Source organism: Homo sapiens, chromosome 17, assembly GCF_000001405.40.
Source record: "Homo sapiens chromosome 17, GRCh38.p14 Primary Assembly".
Classification (NCBI taxonomy): Eukaryota; Metazoa; Chordata; class Mammalia; order Primates; family Hominidae; genus Homo; species Homo sapiens.
The window spans coordinates 4,784,127-4,799,237 of NC_000017.11; the positions used below are offsets into that span (position 1 = coordinate 4,784,127).

At 51.8% G+C, this 15,111-nt stretch overlaps 3 protein-coding genes across 8 annotated transcripts, besides 4 other annotated features; 2 read left to right on the forward strand and 1 right to left on the reverse strand.

The window, feature by feature from the left end:
- Window positions 1-1,158: 1,158 nt before the first annotated feature.
- Window positions 1,159-2,238, reverse strand: VMO1 (vitelline membrane outer layer 1 homolog). 4 transcript variants are annotated; one of them, NM_001144940.2, is made up of 3 exons: window positions 2,032-2,238; window positions 1,831-1,926; window positions 1,159-1,533 (listed from the first exon to the last, which is right to left on the reverse strand). In NM_001144940.2, exons 1-3 carry the CDS (start codon window positions 2,224-2,226, stop codon window positions 1,516-1,518), a joined length of 309 nt encoding a protein of 102 aa, NP_001138412.1. In that variant the 5' UTR covers window positions 2,227-2,238; the 3' UTR covers window positions 1,159-1,515. The 4 variants fall into 4 exon arrangements, with proteins under 4 accessions (NP_001138412.1, NP_872372.1, NP_001138411.1 ...); NM_182566.3 differs by having other exon boundaries at window positions 1,811-1,926; NM_001144939.2 differs by having other exon boundaries at window positions 1,775-1,926.
- A 2,599-nt stretch (window positions 2,239-4,837) lies between these two features.
- Window positions 4,838-6,463, forward strand: GLTPD2 (glycolipid transfer protein domain containing 2). Of its 2 annotated transcripts, NM_001014985.3 has the most exons (4): window positions 4,838-4,991; window positions 5,100-5,164; window positions 5,385-5,551; window positions 5,633-6,463. In NM_001014985.3, the coding sequence occupies exons 1-4, from the start codon at window positions 4,886-4,888 to the stop codon at window positions 6,168-6,170; spliced, it is 876 nt and encodes a 291-aa protein (NP_001014985.3). In that variant the 5' UTR covers window positions 4,838-4,885; the 3' UTR covers window positions 6,171-6,463. The 2 variants fall into 2 exon arrangements, with proteins under 2 accessions (NP_001014985.3, NP_001362730.1); NM_001375801.1 differs by having other exon boundaries at window positions 4,838-5,164.
- Window positions 5,645-6,294: a silencer, noted in NCBI's record as "silent region_8044". NCBI's record gives its function as "represses an Ori minimal core promoter by ATAC-STARR-seq in GM12878 lymphoblastoid cells {active_cell/tissue: GM12878}" and the evidence as "EXISTENCE:reporter gene assay evidence [ECO:0000049][PMID:35858748]".
- Window positions 6,525-6,604: an enhancer, noted in NCBI's record as "active region_11548". NCBI's record gives its function as "activates an Ori minimal core promoter by ATAC-STARR-seq in GM12878 lymphoblastoid cells {active_cell/tissue: GM12878}" and the evidence as "EXISTENCE:reporter gene assay evidence [ECO:0000049][PMID:35858748]".
- Window positions 11,797-12,395: an enhancer, noted in NCBI's record as "H3K27ac hESC enhancer chr17:4699218-4699816 (GRCh37/hg19 assembly coordinates)". NCBI's record gives its function as "activates a minimal SCP1, AML or CMV promoter by ChIP-STARR-seq in naive H9 embryonic stem cells {active_cell/tissue: H9 hESC(naive)}" and the evidence as "EXISTENCE:reporter gene assay evidence [ECO:0000049][PMID:30033119]".
- Window positions 11,822-12,351: an enhancer, noted in NCBI's record as "active region_11549". NCBI's record gives its function as "activates an Ori minimal core promoter by ATAC-STARR-seq in GM12878 lymphoblastoid cells {active_cell/tissue: GM12878}" and the evidence as "EXISTENCE:reporter gene assay evidence [ECO:0000049][PMID:35858748]".
- Window positions 12,038-14,369, forward strand: PSMB6 (proteasome 20S subunit beta 6). 2 transcript variants are annotated; one of them, NM_001270481.2, is made up of 6 exons: window positions 12,038-12,170; window positions 12,602-12,669; window positions 13,312-13,443; window positions 13,556-13,685; window positions 13,883-14,027; window positions 14,134-14,369. In NM_001270481.2, exons 1-6 carry the CDS (start codon window positions 12,069-12,071, stop codon window positions 14,196-14,198), a joined length of 642 nt encoding a protein of 213 aa, NP_001257410.1. In that variant the 5' UTR covers window positions 12,038-12,068; the 3' UTR covers window positions 14,199-14,369. The 2 variants fall into 2 exon arrangements, with proteins under 2 accessions (NP_001257410.1, NP_002789.1); NM_002798.3 differs by having other exon boundaries at window positions 14,154-14,369.
- Window positions 14,370-15,111: the final 742 nt, after the last annotated feature.

Genomic DNA, 15,111 nt, shown 5'->3' on the forward strand with positions numbered 1-15,111 from the left:
CATTGCAGCCTCCACCTCCTGGGCTAAAGCAATCCTCCTGCCTCTGCCTCCTGAGTAGCTGGGACTACAGGCGCACACCACCATACCCCTGCTAATTTTTGTACTTTTTGTAGAGAGGGGATTTCACCATGTTGCCCAGGCTGGTCTCCAACTGCTGAGCTTAAACAATCCACCCACCTCAGCCTCCCAGAGTGCTGAGATTACAGCTGTGAGCCACCACATCTGGCCATAATTTGGTAGAATTTTCTTAATCTTAGGTCACTGGTTCAGAAAGGAGACAACCTAGGCACCTAATGGGGGCAGGGTGTCTGCAGACTCTCTCAGAAAGCCAGACTTCCTGGGCCCGCACGATGGTGCAAGCCGGTAATCCCAAAACTTTGGAAGGCTGAAGCCAGTGGATCACTTGAGGTCAGGAGTTTGAGACCAGCTTGGCCAACATGGGGAAACTCCATCTCTACTAAAAATACAAAAATTAGCTGGGCATGGTGGTGGGTACCAGTAGTCCCAACTACTCAGGAGGCTGAGGCAGAAGAATCGTTTGAACCCAGGAGGTGGAAGTTGCAGTGAGCCAAGATCATACCACTGCACTCCAGCCTGAGTGACAGAGTGAGACTCCAAAAAAAAAAAAAAAAAAAAAAGCCAGACTTCCATCACTTGTCTGAAAATTATCTGTTTAAGTGCGTTTTTCTCGAGTCCATAACTTTTCAGCAATCTACCATAGACCCCTGAGACCAAATCCAAATGTATGCCTCACCTAATGCTAAGTTAGGAGGGGAAAAGGAGACTCAGTTCCCCATCCCTTAAACAGGCGAGACCAGCCGGGCATGGTGTCTCACGCCTGTAATCCCAGCACTTTGGGAGGCCAAGGTGGGCGGATCATGAGGTCAGGAGATCGAGACCATCCTGGCTAACACGGTGAAACCCCGTCTCTACTAAAAATACAAAAAAAAAAAAAAAAAATTAGCCGGGCGTAGTGGCGGGCGCCTGTAGTCCCAGCTACTCGGGAGGCTGAGGCAGGAGAACGGCGTGAACCCGGGAGGCAGAGCTTGCAGTGAGCCGAGTGAGCCACTGCACTCCAGCCTGGGGGACAGAGCGATACTCCGTCTCAAATAAATAAATTAATAAATAAATAAATGAAATAAACAGGCGAGACCAAAGTCAACTCAGAGAAGCTTTAATAGCAAGAGGTGGGACTAGCCTCCTGGCCCGGGAGAGAGCGGCGGCGGCGGCGCCGTTCAACTGCGGCAGCAGAATAAGCGCGCGTCGTTCAGCGCAGTGTCATCGCCGAGGCCTCTAGGTCCCTGGATCTTGGTCTGCAGGCCGCACGCGCCCTTGGGGCAATGGTCACTCCAGTCTCCAAAGTCTCCCCAGCTCAGCCCAGGCCCCTGCAGTTCCTCGCCGTCTGAACAGCGGAAGCGCACGTTGTTCGCTGCTGTGTTGTCACCGAGGGTCGTGGGTGCCTCCACGCGAAGCGAGAAAGCCACTAGGTAGGCGCCGCCGCGACACCACAGCGGCTCACTCCATTCGCCCCAGCTGCAAGGCAAAGGGAGATGCGTTGCCTCTGCGGGCCCCCCATTCACCAAGCCCTTGAGACTTTCCAAGCCAAGTGCTGTGTATATGACCTGGTGGGCTGGGTGCTCCCCGACCTCCGCCGAGGAGCGGAGGAGGGGTCTTCCATCCACCCTTCGCCTCCCCGGTCTATACTGCCCCGTAGCTCTGGCGGAGCCAGCCTGCCTGTTGCGACGGAGTATGTAATAGAGGGTAAGGGACATACCATCACCCCAAGGGATCCTCGACCCCTGCGCCCCACCTTCCAGACTGGGACTCTACCACGTGCGTATTGCCTAGGACGTTCCCGCGCGCGCAGTGCAGCCTGATCCCATTCAGTGCAGTGTCGTCGCCAGGAATGCCTTGGGGAGGCTCCACCTGGGTATCGAGGAGAGGGGCAAGGGCGAGTCACGGAATTATCATCCTTGGCTCTATGGTCCCACGCATCTCCGCCCTCTCCAGGACCTACGCCTGAGCCCCAACCTTGAGCGAGAACCCGCTGGCGAAGAATCCATCGGGACACATCTCAGGCCAGGCCCAGTCGCCCCAGGGACCCCCGCTGGTCACTTCGATGACCGCCGTGTAGCCGTTCCGGCCATCTGTCTGTGCACATGTGAAACCAGTCGCCCGCAGAAGCAGCAGCAGCGGCAGCAGCTTGGCTCCTGCGCCCCGCTCCATCCTGTAGCGTCTGTGAATCAGGCCTCCTAAGCAGATTTATATCAGTTTGGCCTCTGTGAGGGCTCCGATTGCGGAAGGGCCTCCCAGATTAAGTGAAACCCAAAACTAATCCACTCCCGGAACCCTATTTCCTGCTCCCGGAGGCAGAGGCTCCCAGAGCTAGGGTAGGAGGGGCAGTGAGAGAGGGCGAATTAAAATAACCATCACCTACTGAATATTTACTATAGGCTACGAATTATGGTTAGCGCTTTGCAGTATTTTGTTTAACCCTCACAACAATTTTTGGGGGGTGAGAATTATCCTTCCTATTTTGTAGATGAGGGAACTGGCTCAAAAATGGCAAGCAACTTGCCTTAGGTTTACAGCCAAGCAAGCTGGGAAACATTCCAGCAGTGAGAGTGGAGACAGAGCAGAGACCAGGGCTAGGGATGGAAGTGACCTCCCGGGAGTCCCACCAGTGACGGGATGGGGCAAGAGCAACCCAGAGACCTCCAGGATGTGAGGGGACATCAGAGTGAGGATAGGACAAGAATCCTCGAACTGGAGAAGCTGAGAAAACTCCTGTCAGCTCAGAAGTCTCTTCCTCCTCTGAGAGGTCTTCTGAGAGCTCAGGGCCCTAACACCTTGAGAATCCGGGACACTCCTCCCTACCTTAGAAGAAGACATATACAAACAGAAATAATTCTTTTTTATTTTTATTTTTTGAGTCGAAGTCTCACTCTGTCGCCCAGTGGCGGCATCGCAGTGGCGCGATCTCGGCTCACTGCTACCTCCACCTCCTGGGTTCAAGCGATTCTCCTGCCTCAGCCTCCCGAGTAGCTGGGACTACAGGCGCGCGCCAAGACGCCGCCCCGCTAATTTTTGTATTTTTAGTAGAGACCGGGTTTCACCGTGTTGGCCAGGATGGTCTCTATCTCTTGACCTTGTGATCCGCCTGCCTCGGCCTCCCAAAGTGCTGGGATTACAGGCATGAGCCACCGCGCCCGGTCCAACAGGAATAACTCTAAGAAGTTTGGGGACAGGAGACTAAGAACCCCTAAGAAAAGATCATGCTGTTTCTTCCATTGCTTTCTGTATCCTTATATCCTTTCCTGGAATGCCTTTCCCCCTGTGACCACCAGATGGACTCCTAATTTGCAAAACAAAAAGCGAGAAAATCTGGCTAAGTATGTTTTTTGTTTGTTTGTTTGTTTGTTTGTTTTGAGACGAAGTCTCACTCTGTTGCCCAGGTTGGAGTGCAGTGACGCCATCTCGGCTCACTGCAACCTCTGCCTCCCGGGTTCAAGCGATTCTCTTCCCTTAACCTCCCGAGTAGCTGGGATTATAGGCGTTCGCCACCACGCCCGGCTAATTTGTATATTTTTAGTAGAGACGGGGTGTTGCCATGTTAGCCAGGCTGACCTCAGGTGATCCGCCCACCTCGGCCTCCCAAAGTGCTGGGATTACAGGCGTGAGCCACCGTGCCTGGCCTAAAAATGCCTGGCTAAATTTGTTAGGGGCCACAACCCCAGATTTACCTGCCCCTCATACACACTCCTTTGTTTATTCAATACCTATTTAGCAATAATATGTTTTGGCTTAAGCAATATTCCACTTGCTGTAAGCAAGAATAACAAGGCCCCTGTCATCAGAGGTCACATTCCAGTGGGGGAGACAGAGGATAAATTCTCCCCCAGTGGACCTTGAGCTCTGTGAAGGCACTTTTGTATTCTTGAAGCCTAGTACGTGCGGAAGTACTTAATAAAAGTTGGTGCAATGAATGATTGAAGAGCCAATCTGGAGTTTTGAAAATTAAACCACAAAAATGCAAAAGGATAAAGCCTGACGTACGTATATGATTGCAAGAGGTCATGTATCCAGGTCAAGACAAAGTCCCCTGGGAATAAGATAGAGAATTTAGAAGTGGGTGTTCCCGGCTGGGCGCGGTGGTTTACGCCTGTAATCCCAGCACTTTGGGAGGCCAAGTTGGGCGGATCACAAGGTCAGGAGTTCGAGACCAGCCTGTCCAGTATGGTGAAACCCTGTCTCTACTAAAAATGTAAAAATTAGCCGGCACTTTCCAGCCTGGGCGACAGAGCGAGACTTTGTCTCAAAAAACAAAAAAACAAAAAACAAACAAAAAAAAAAAGAGAGCGAGAGAGAAGTGGGTGTTCCCTGGATCCCAGAGCCGGACAATGCTTGAACTTAATAAGATTTATAGGGCAATTGTGGTCAGCTTTTCCATTTAGTGTTTTCACATACGTTATCATTTAATCCTCACATGAGGCTTGCAAAGTACCTATTATTATCCTCAATTTACAGTGGAGGGAACTCAAGCCCAGAGTGAATTTAGGGCCCACACCACTGCTCAGTAGGGGAGCTGTTCTGGGCCCTGCCTCTCTTCCCAATACTCAGAGTGCCTCTTGCTACAGCTGGCCCTACAGGGAAGGGAAATGCACTGATCTGTCACTGCTGTCGAATCCCCCAAATTCCCTTCACCCAGTTCCTCGCACCCAGGGTAGCTGCCCTTTGGGGCGAAGGGCACAGGGGAAGGGGCCTTAGTAGGTTAATTATTAATCCTTTGCGCCTCAGGGCACCACGGGCTTCTGTCCCCTCCTGGAGGCGGAGGGACACGGACTGGCTAGGCGCTGGTGAGGGGGCGGCGGTCCCAGCAGCAGGCATGGGAGTGGCGGCGCGGCCCCCAGCCCTGCGGCACTGGTTCAGCCACTCAATTCCTCTCGCTATCTTCGCGCTGCTGCTGCTTTATCTCAGTGTTCGGAGCCTAGGTGAGCTGCCCCTTCCCTCACTTGCTCCGGGAGGAAGCCCGGAATCCAGGCCCTCACGACTCAAGCCTCTTTCTCGAGCCCTCACCGCTCCGCTTCTCCTCTACCCAGGCGCCCGCTCGGGCTGCGGACCCAGGGCGCAGCCCTGCGTTCCAGGGGAAACGGCGCCCTTCCAGGTACGCTAGGCGCAGGATTGGGCGCGGGCGCTCCAGGAGGGACCAGAACAGGGGGACGTGGAGCCAGGCTGAGGGTCCGGCAAAGGGCGGGTCCTCCCCCGGTCTACCCTCTCCCGTCGGAAGCTGAGCGCACAGCAGAAGAGCCGCCAGCTAAACCTTCGGAACAATTTCTTCAGGGCAGAATCTGCTCCCACCTCTTCCCATCGTGTCTCCCCACCAGGTCCGGCAGGAGTCGGGAACCCTGGAGGCCCCGGAGAGGAAACAGCCTCCGTGTCTGGGCCCTCGGGGGATGCTGGGCCGCATGATGAGGCGGTTCCACGCCAGTCTGAAACCCGAAGGGGATGTGGGGCTGTCGCCGTACCTGGCGGGATGGAGGGCACTCGTCGAGTGAGTGGCCTCCCGCCCCCCAGCCGGTCCCCGCCTCCTTGGCGGCTCCATCTCCATTCTCTCAAATCGTCTCGCCCGCAGGTTCCTGACTCCCCTCGGCTCCGTCTTCGCCTTCGCCACTAGGGAGGCCTTCACCAAGGTGACAGACCTGGAGGCTCGGGTGCACGGCCCGGACGCGGAGCACTACTGGTCGCTGGTGGCCATGGCGGCGTGGGAGCGGAGGGCGGGACTGCTGGAGCAGCCGGGGGCGGCCCCCCGGGACCCGACCCGGAGCTCGGGCTCTCGCACGCTGCTCCTGCTGCACCGCGCGCTGCGCTGGTCCCAGCTCTGCCTCCACCGGGTGGCGACCGGCGCGCTGGGAGGCCCGGACGCGGGCGTGCAGTGCAGCGACGCCTACCGTGCGGCCCTGGGTCCGCATCACCCCTGGCTGGTCCGACAGACCGCCCGCCTCGCCTTCCTCGCCTTCCCGGGTCGCCGCCGCCTGCTGGAGCTGGCGTGTCCCGGAGCCACCGAGGCGGAGGCGCGGGCCGCGCTGGTCCGGGCCGCCGGCACCTTGGAGGATGTCTACAACCGCACCCAGAGCCTGCTGGCCGAGCGCGGCCTGCTCCAGCTGGCCTAAGACGGCGGCTGCGGGGACCGGCGGGAACGGAGCGGACCGCCCGGGGTGGGGCCGCGCAGCCCGGGGTCAGTCCTGCAGCCCGCGCCGCGGCCGCCTCCGTATCCCGCCTCTTCCGTGACGTCGCCGCGGCGAGGGCCGCCCCCGGCAGGGAATGGCGTTGAGCTCCCTCTGTCCGCAGTCTCGGAAAGACGGGAGGAGCTGTGAGGAATAAAAAAGCAATATTTGGCAGCGTCGACGTAGGGCGTTTTGTGTGATGACGACAGGCGCTTAAGGGAAATAAAAAACGAAGGTGAGAAGATGTGTCATCTCTGTTCTCGGCAGCCGAGAGACTCACGCTCCCCCGGCCTATCGTAGTCACTCCCGTGGCTTCGGTTGCCAAACACACGCTGAGTCTCCAGCCCAGACTTGTCCCTGAGCTTCACCCCTGTGCAGCCAAGTGACTCCACGGCCACTCCCACAATGAACATGAAAGATCTTGCCATTTCATACACTGATAACTTCCAAATCACAACTTCAATCCACTTTCTCCTGGACTCCAGAATCCTACATATACGATTGCCTATTCGGTATTTCCACTTGGATGTCACCTAGGCATAGCAAACCTACCATGTCCAACACTAAGCTCCAACACGCCCTCCCCACGAAAATTCTCCCTTCATAGTCTTTGCTGGCTCAAATGACACTTCATTCTTCCAGGTCCTCAGACCAAAAACCTCGTCATCCAGACCCTTCTGGGTTGTTTTTTCGTTTTGGTTTGGTTTTCTTTCTTTTTTTTTTTTTTTTTTCTGAGACAGAGTTTCTCTCTTGTTACCCAGGCTGGAGTGCAATGGCGCGATCTTGGCTCACCGCAACCTCCACCTCCCGGGTTCAAGCAATTCTCCTGCCTCAGCCTCCCAAGTAGCTGGGATTACAGGCATGCACCACCACACCAGGCTACTTTTTGTATTTTTAGTAGAGACAGGCTGTCTACGTGTTGGTCAGGCTGGTCTTGAATTCCCGACCTCAGGTTATCCGCCCGCCTCGGCCTCCCAAAGTGCAGGGATTACAGGTGTGAGGCACTGCGCCCAGCCCCAGCCCTTCTGTTTCTCTTTCATCATATCAGCATCCAATCTGTGAAAATCTGAGCAGTGCCCACTTTCTCCACTCCTAGTACCTTTGACTATGAAGGGAGACTATATCCTAGATTACTGCACTAGCCTCCTCATTGTTTCTCTGTCCATCCTTTCCCTCCCTATAATGTATTTTATTTTATTTTTGTGCCCCCTCTCCCACCCTCCTATAATGTATTTTATTTTTTTTATTTATTTACTTATTTTGAGACGGAGTTTCACTATTGTCACTGAGGCTGGAGTGCAGTGGCGCAATCTCGCCTCACTGCAACCTCCACCTCCCAGGTTCAAGTGATTCTTCTGCCTCAGCCTCCTGAGTAGCTGGGATTACAGGCGTAATCCCACCACCACTCCCAGCTAATTTTTGTATTTTTAGTAGAGACGGGGTTTTGCTACGTTGGCCAGGCTGGTCTTGAACTTCTGACCTCAGGTGATCCACCCACCTCCGCCTCCCAAAGTGCTGGGATTATAGGTGTGAGCCACCGCGCCTGGCCAACGATTGTTTTTTATTACGAGAGAATGTTGGATTTTTAAACTGCTTTTCTGAGTTTATTGAGATAATTTTCCATTTTTCCTTTATTAATATGGTATATTGCATTAATTTTCATATGTTGAACCAATGTTGTATTCCTTTTTTTTTTTTTTTTTGAGAACAACTCTTGCTCTGTTGCCCAGGCTGGAGTGCAGTGGCACGATCTAGGCTCACTGAAACTTCTGCCTCCCGAGTTCAAGTGATTCTCCTGCCTCAGCCTCCCGAGTAGCTGGGACTACAGGCACACCACCATGCCAGGCTAATTTTTGTATTTTTAGTAGAGACTGGCCAACATGGTGAAACCCCGTCTCTACTAAAAGTACAAAAATTAGCCAGGTACGGTGGCATGTGCCTGTAATCCCAACACTTTGGAAGGAGAATCACTGGAACCCGGGAGGCAGAGCCTGCAGTGAGCCGAAATTGTGCCACTGCACTCCAGCTTGGACAACAGCACAAGACTCTGTCTCAAAAAAACAAAAAACAAAAAAGAAAAAAACAACAAACAAAAAAAAAATCAACAAACTAGGAATAGAAGGGAACTTCCCCTGCCTAGGCATCTGTGAAAAACCCAGGGCTAACAGCACTCTCAATGATGAAAGACTTTTCCCTAAGCTTTCTCCTAAGCTTTTCCCCTAAAATGAGAAACAAGACAAAGATGTCTGCTTTTGCCAATCTATTCAACATTGTGCTGAAGTAACTAGCCAGAGCAACTGGGCAAGATAATGAAATAAAAAGCATCCAGATTGGAAAGGAAGAGATAAAATTATCTCTATTTGCAGATGATATGATGGTTTATATAGAAAAACCCTAAAGAATATAGACACAAACTTTTAGAACTAATAAATGGCCAGGCACGGTGGCTCACGCCTGTAATCCGAACACTGGGAGGCTGAGGCAGGCAGATCACGAGGTCAGGAGTTCAAGACCAGCCTGACCAACATGGTGAAACTCCATCTCTACTAAAAATACAAAAATTAGCTGGGCATGGTGGCACTCACAGGAGAACTGCTTGAGCCCGGGAGGTGGAGACTGCAGTGAGCCGAGATTGCGCCACTGTACTCCAGCCTGGGCAACAGAGTAAGACTGTCTCAAAAACAAAACAAACAAACAAACAAAAAGAACTAATAAATGGTTCAATGAAGTTGCAGAATACAAGATCAAAACCAAAATCAGTTGTATTTCTATGTACTAGCAATGAACAATCCAAAAATGAAATTAAGAAGACAATGTCACTTATAACAGCATCAAAAAGAATAAAATACTTGGGAACAAATTTAACCAAAGAAGTGCAAGACCTATATATTGAAAACTATTATAAACACTGTTAAAAGAAATTAAAGGGCCGGGCGCAGTGGCTCACGCCTGTAATCCCAGCACTTTGGGAGGCCGAGGCGGACAGATCACGAGGTCAGGAGTTTGAGACCAGCCTGGCCAATATGGTGAAACCCCGTCTCTACTAAAATTACAAAAATTAGCCTGGCGTGGTGGCAGGCGCCTGTAGTCGCAGCTACTTCAGAGGCTGAGGCAAAAGAACTGCTTGAACCTGGGAGGTGGAAGTTGCAGTGAGCCAAGATCACGCCACTGTTCTCCAGCCTGGGTGACAGAGCAAGATCTGTCAAGAAAGAAAAGAAAAGAAAGAACGAAGGAAGGAAGGAAGGAAAGAAAAGAAAAGGAGAAAAGAAAAGAAAAGAAAAGAAGTACTACAAAGCTACAGTAATAGAGACAATATGATACTGGCATAGGATAGACATATAGATCAATGAAACAAAACTGAGAATCCAGAAGTAAGTCCATACATGTATGGTCAATGATTTTTAACAAGGGTGCCAAGATCATTCAATGGGGAGACAGTCTTTTTTTTTTTTTTTTTTTTTTTGAGACGGAGTCTTGCTCTGTTGCCCAGGCTTGGGAGTGCAGCGGCCCGATCTCGGCTCACTGCAAGCTCCGCCTCCTGGTCTCAGACCATTCTCCTGCCTCAGCCTCCCGAGTAGCTGGGACTATAGGCGCCCACCACTACACCCGGCTAATTTTTTTTTTGTATTTTTAGTAGAGGGGTTTCACCGTGTTAGCCAGGATGGTCTCAGTCTCCTGACCTCGTGATCCGCCTGCCTCAGCCTCCCAAAGTGCTGGGATTACAGGCGTGAGCCACTGCACCCGGCAGGTCTTTTCAACAAATGGTGCTGGAACAACTAACTGACTATCCATATGCAAAAGCATGGATTTGGACTTCTACTTCACATCACATACAAAAATTAACTCAAAATGGACCACAGACCTAAAAATGTAAGAGCTGGCACTATAAACTTTCATGCTTCAAAGAACACCAATGAAGGACATGAAAAGACAATCCAATGGGAGAAAATATTTTCAAATCATGTATCTGATGTTTCTAGTACCTAGAATATTAAAAAGGACCCTTACAACTCAACAATAAAAAGACAAATAGAGCCAGGCACAGTGGCTCATGCCTGTAATCCTAGCACTTTCGGAGGCCGAGGCGGGAGGATCACCTGAGGTTAGGAGTTCGAGACCGGCCTGGCCAACATGGCGAAACCCCATCTCTTTAATAAAAATACAAAAATTAGCCGGGCATGGTGGCGCATGCCTGTAATCCCAGCTACTTGGGAGGCTGGGGCAAGAGAATTGCTGGAACCCGGGAGGCGGAAGCTGCAGTGAGCCGAGATCACACCAGTATAAAAAGACAAATAGAGGCCGGGCGCGGTGGCTCACGCCTGTAATCCCAGCACTTTGGGAGGCCGAGGCGGGTGGATCATGAGGTCAGGAGATCGAGACCATCCTGGCTAACAAGGTGAAACCCCGTCTCTACTAAAAATACAAAAAAAATTAGCCGGGCGCGGTGGCGGGCGCCTGTAGTCCCAGCTACTCGGGAGGCTGAGGCAGGAGAATGGCGTGAACCCGGGAAGCGGAGCTTGCAGTGAGCCGAGATTGCGCCACTGCAGTCCGCAGTCCCGCCTGGGCGACAGAGCGAGACTCCGTCTCAAAAAAAAAAAAAAAAAAAAAAAAAGACAAATAGAGCTGGGTTCAGTGGCACACACCTGTAGTCCCAGCTACTTGAGAAGCTGAGGCGGGAGGATCACTGGAGCCCAGGAGTTCGAGGCTGATATAGTGCACCATGATCCCATCTGCACTCCAGCCTGGGAAACACCGCAAGACAAACCCACCCCACACACACACCCCACCCTCGTCTCAAAAAAAAAAAATTAAACCCCAAAAATATATTAAACAAAAGACATATCCCAATTTTAGAATGTGCAAAGAACTTGAAAAAACATTGCATCAAAAAAGACATACAAATGGCCAATTATCTCATGGAAATATGCTCAGCATCACTAATCATTAGAAAAATACCAATGAAAACCACAGGGTACCACTTCACACCCACTGGAATGGCTATAACTAAAAAAATGCACAATAACAAGTGTTGGTGAGGATGTGGAGAAATTGGAACCCTCACACATGGCTTGTAGGGATGTAAAATGGTGCAGTTTCTGTGGAAAACAGTTTGTCGGTTGCTCAAAATGTTAAACATACAGTTATCATAGAACCCATAAATTCCTCTGCCAGCATATACTCCTAAGTATATAACTAAAAGAAATGAAAACATGGTGTGGTCACTTTAGCCCAAAGACTCTCAGGTTTATTTTGTGGGCCCTTTGGACTGTAACTCCATAAGATCGGTACGGCGCAAGCCACTAGGACTGTTTTTTGTTTTGTTTTGTTTTTGCTTTTGTTTTGAGACAGTCTTGCTCTGTCGCTCAGGCTGGAGTGCAGTGGCGTGATCTCGGCTCACTGTAACCTCCGCCTCCCAGGCTCAAGCGATTCTCCTGCCTCAGCCTCCCCAGTAGCCGGGATTACAGGCGCGCCCCACCACGCCCGGCTAATTTTTGTATTTTTTAGTAGAGAAGGAGTTTCACCATGTTGGCCAGGCTGGTCTTGAACTCCTAACCTCATGATCCGCCCGCCTCAGCCTCCCAAAGTGCCGAACGGTTTTTGGGTTTTTTTTGGTTTTTTGGGGGGGGGGTTTTGCTGACTTTCTTGTTTTGTTTGTTGCTTGCCACGCTGCCATCAAGTGCTCACTGTCGCAAAAGAACCGTCCCCATGCAGTACTGTACTTTTCTTTTCCCTTCTGCCGTCAACCTCGGAGTAGCTTCGCTCCCAGAAGGCCTCAAAGCGCGACCAAAGAGCGTGACAGAGCGCTTTACGACAGTTGCTTTGAGGCAGTACCGGAGGAGAAAGATGGCGGCTACCTTACTAGCTGCTCGGGGAGCCGGGCCAGCACCGGCTTGGGGGCCGGAGGCGTTCACTCCAGACTGGGAAAGCCGAGAAGTTTCCACTGGGGTGAGGAAGGAATCGGGGTTCATAGGACGTGCACAAGGCCTGACGCGATGGGAAGATAAAGCCTGAGTGGGGTTGAGAGATCTGGCAGGGGTGGAGAGGAGGTGGAATGTGTTGTGCTCCAGGAATGGGGAGAGGTACCCCGAAGATGGTGGAGTGGTGCGGTAGCTTCGTAGTGGGAGGTGGAGGGTGGGCTGAAGTTTGAAATTCTGAAATCCTGCGAGGCTAGTGAGGATCTTGGGCTTAAGTACGGGATGAGTCTTTTGAGATTTGAGGGTTGGCATTCTGGTATTCTGCGGGGTGCTGAGGCCCCTATAAGATTTGAAAATGGTTCAGCGACGGACAGATTTTGTATTTTTGGAACTAGGTAGAGAGATCATTGAGGTTTGTGTCTGCTGGAGAATGTAGACTTACTCCTTTTTCCCTTTTCCCAGACCACTATCATGGCCGTGCAGTTTGACGGGGGCGTGGTTCTGGGGGCGGACTCCAGAACAACCACTGGGTGAGCTCAGGACAGATTTGTGAAAGGTCTTCCCATCTTCCTTTTCCTTTCCTGCCTGCCAGCCCACCCTGCCTGCCTCCACAGACCACTGTGGGAAGAGAGGTTTCTTCTCTCTCTGGAGATAAAGATTTGTCCCAACTTTTGTTACTTTCAGTTCCCCTCACTCGTTAGTGGAATCCTTACAAAAGTCTGTTCTCCAGCCCGCTTCAGTTTGGATGAGAATAAGCAATACTGGAGGCCAGGCACGGTGGCTCACGCCTGTAATCCCAGTACTTTGGGAGGCCGAGGCGGGTGGATCACCTGAGGTCAGGAGTTCGAGACCAGCCTGGCCAACATGGCGAAACCCCGTCTCTACTAAAAAATACAAAAATTAGCCGTGCGTGGCGGTGCGTGCCTGCAGTCCCAGCTACTTGGGAGGCTAGGGCTAGAGAATCGCTTGGACCCAGGAGGTGGATGTTGCAGTGAGCAGAGATCGCGTCACTGTACTCCAGCCTGGGCAACAGAGCGAGACTCCATCTCAAAGAAAAAGGAAAAAAAGGCAATACTGGACATCCTATCCCTGAGCCCTAAGAGAGTGGGTAGTGATGGGATGGAGGTGGAAGACAGGTGGGCTCCTTTCCTCACTATTCTGCCATCCTGCAGGTCCTACATCGCCAATCGAGTGACTGACAAGCTGACACCTATTCACGACCGCATTTTCTGCTGTCGCTCAGGCTCAGCTGCTGATACCCAGGCAGTAGCTGATGCTGTCACCTACCAGCTCGGTTTCCACAGGTGCTTGTGGGCAGGGGAGGGGCAAGTATCTGAAGGGAGTTGGAAGCTGAGGAGCTAAATAGCCTGACTTCTAGGTCTTGAAACTTTCTCTGTGACTTCCCTGACCCTCTAGCATTGAACTGAATGAGCCTCCACTGGTCCACACAGCAGCCAGCCTCTTTAAGGAGATGTGTTACCGATACCGGGAAGACCTGATGGCGGGAATCATCATCGCAGGCTGGGACCCTCAAGAAGGAGGGCAGGTCAGATCCCCACCCGACCAGAGCACACTTGAGCCAGGACTTTTATCCTCTCCCCAGCCATTTTCTTTTTCTTTCCAGTCTCTACCTCACTTATTCTTACTATTAACGTGCCTCAGACCAATAGCAGAATGGACAGGTGAATGTACGTGTGTTGGAGGGAGGATACGACTGGTGACTCCTCTCCTTCTATCTGGCAGGTGTACTCAGTGCCTATGGGGGGTATGATGGTAAGGCAGTCCTTTGCCATTGGAGGCTCCGGGAGCTCCTACATCTATGGCTATGTTGATGCTACCTACCGGGAAGGCATGACCAAGGAAGAGTGTCTGCAATTCACTGCCAATGGTGAGAGCTTAGGCTTCTGGGCCTATGAGCTTCAACCCCAACTACCCAAGCCAGGCCAGCATTCCTCATTCCTTGCAGTGATCCCGGCATCTGAATCTGAACCCAGCTTTCTTCTTTTATCCACAGCTCTCGCTTTGGCCATGGAGCGGGATGGCTCCAGTGGAGGAGTGATCCGCCTGGCAGCCATTGCAGAGTCAGGGGTAGAGCGGCAAGTACTTTTGGGAGACCAGATACCCAAATTCGCCGTTGCCACTTTACCACCCGCCTGAATCCTGGGATTCTAGTATGCAATAAGAGATGCCCTGTACTGATGCAAAATTTAATAAAGTTTGTCACAGAGAATCTTTGTACTTTGGGGTTCTTTTTTTTTTGACTTCAAGTCCGAATTTGTCTGGCCCATTCCTATTTGTAAAAACCATTGCACTGAACTCAGAGCAAGTTGGAGAGGAGATGAAAGGAGTTTATGAATGCTTTATTCCCCAGTAAACTTTTACATGGGTGGTTTTCAAACCTCTTCTCCAAATTGCCTTCCCCCAAACTTCCTTTCCCCCACCATATCCAGGTCCTTGAACCACTGGATTGTGGTTGGTGTTGGGGGTACCAGCAACACCCACTCCCTGTTCAAGCCCAAGGTGGAACTCGGAATTCTGACTAAAACTGGAGTCACCTTCCTTCAGCCTGCTTCCTGCCAGTCATCCTGGGTGACTACTGTCCCTAAGGCCACAAAGACCAGCCTCCTCCAGCCCAGCCTCATGGTCCCCTCTCTCCACACTTAACCTCTGTTACCTCACCTTGTGGTCAGCAGTAGCACTGTGACTTCCTTGGCTTTTGGGAGAAAGGTGGGCCTTGTCTGCAAATGGAATTTAAGATGAATGATGAGTGGGAGAACAAAACCACTGGGAGTGGTTTGGCCAGCTCTGGAAGCCACCATTCCCATGGTAGGGGGTGTGATCAACCTCTTGGATGAGAGGCTGAAAATAGACTCTGGCCCTTCCGAAGCTGTCCCCACTCAAGCCAGGGACATAAAGGAGCTCGATAGCTGGGACTACAGGTGTGTGTCACCTCACCTCAGGCTAATTTTATT

Coding starts and splice junctions, on each gene's coding strand:
- VMO1 (NM_182566.3), bottom strand. CDS start 2,226: ATGGAGCGGGGCGCAGGAGCCAAGCTGCTGCCGCTGCTGCTGCTTCTG. Junction 1,927..2,031: donor CCAGCGGGTTCTCGCTCAAG/GTTGGGGCTCAG, acceptor CTCGATACCCAG/GTGGAGCCTCCCCAAGGCAT. Junction 1,534..1,810: donor GTAGAGTCCCAGTCTGGAAG/GTGGGGCGCAGG, acceptor TTTGCCTTGCAG/CTGGGGCGAATGGAGTGAGC.
- GLTPD2 (NM_001375801.1), top strand. CDS start 4,886: ATGGGAGTGGCGGCGCGGCCCCCAGCCCTGCGGCACTGGTTCAGCCAC. Junction 5,165..5,384: donor GGGAAACGGCGCCCTTCCAG/GTACGCTAGGCG, acceptor TCTCCCCACCAG/GTCCGGCAGGAGTCGGGAAC. Junction 5,552..5,632: donor GGATGGAGGGCACTCGTCGA/GTGAGTGGCCTC, acceptor TCTCGCCCGCAG/GTTCCTGACTCCCCTCGGCT.
- PSMB6 (NM_002798.3), top strand. CDS start 12,069: ATGGCGGCTACCTTACTAGCTGCTCGGGGAGCCGGGCCAGCACCGGCT. Junction 13,686..13,882: donor ACCCTCAAGAAGGAGGGCAG/GTCAGATCCCCA, acceptor TCTATCTGGCAG/GTGTACTCAGTGCCTATGGG. Junction 14,028..14,153: donor TCTGCAATTCACTGCCAATG/GTGAGAGCTTAG, acceptor TTTTATCCACAG/CTCTCGCTTTGGCCATGGAG.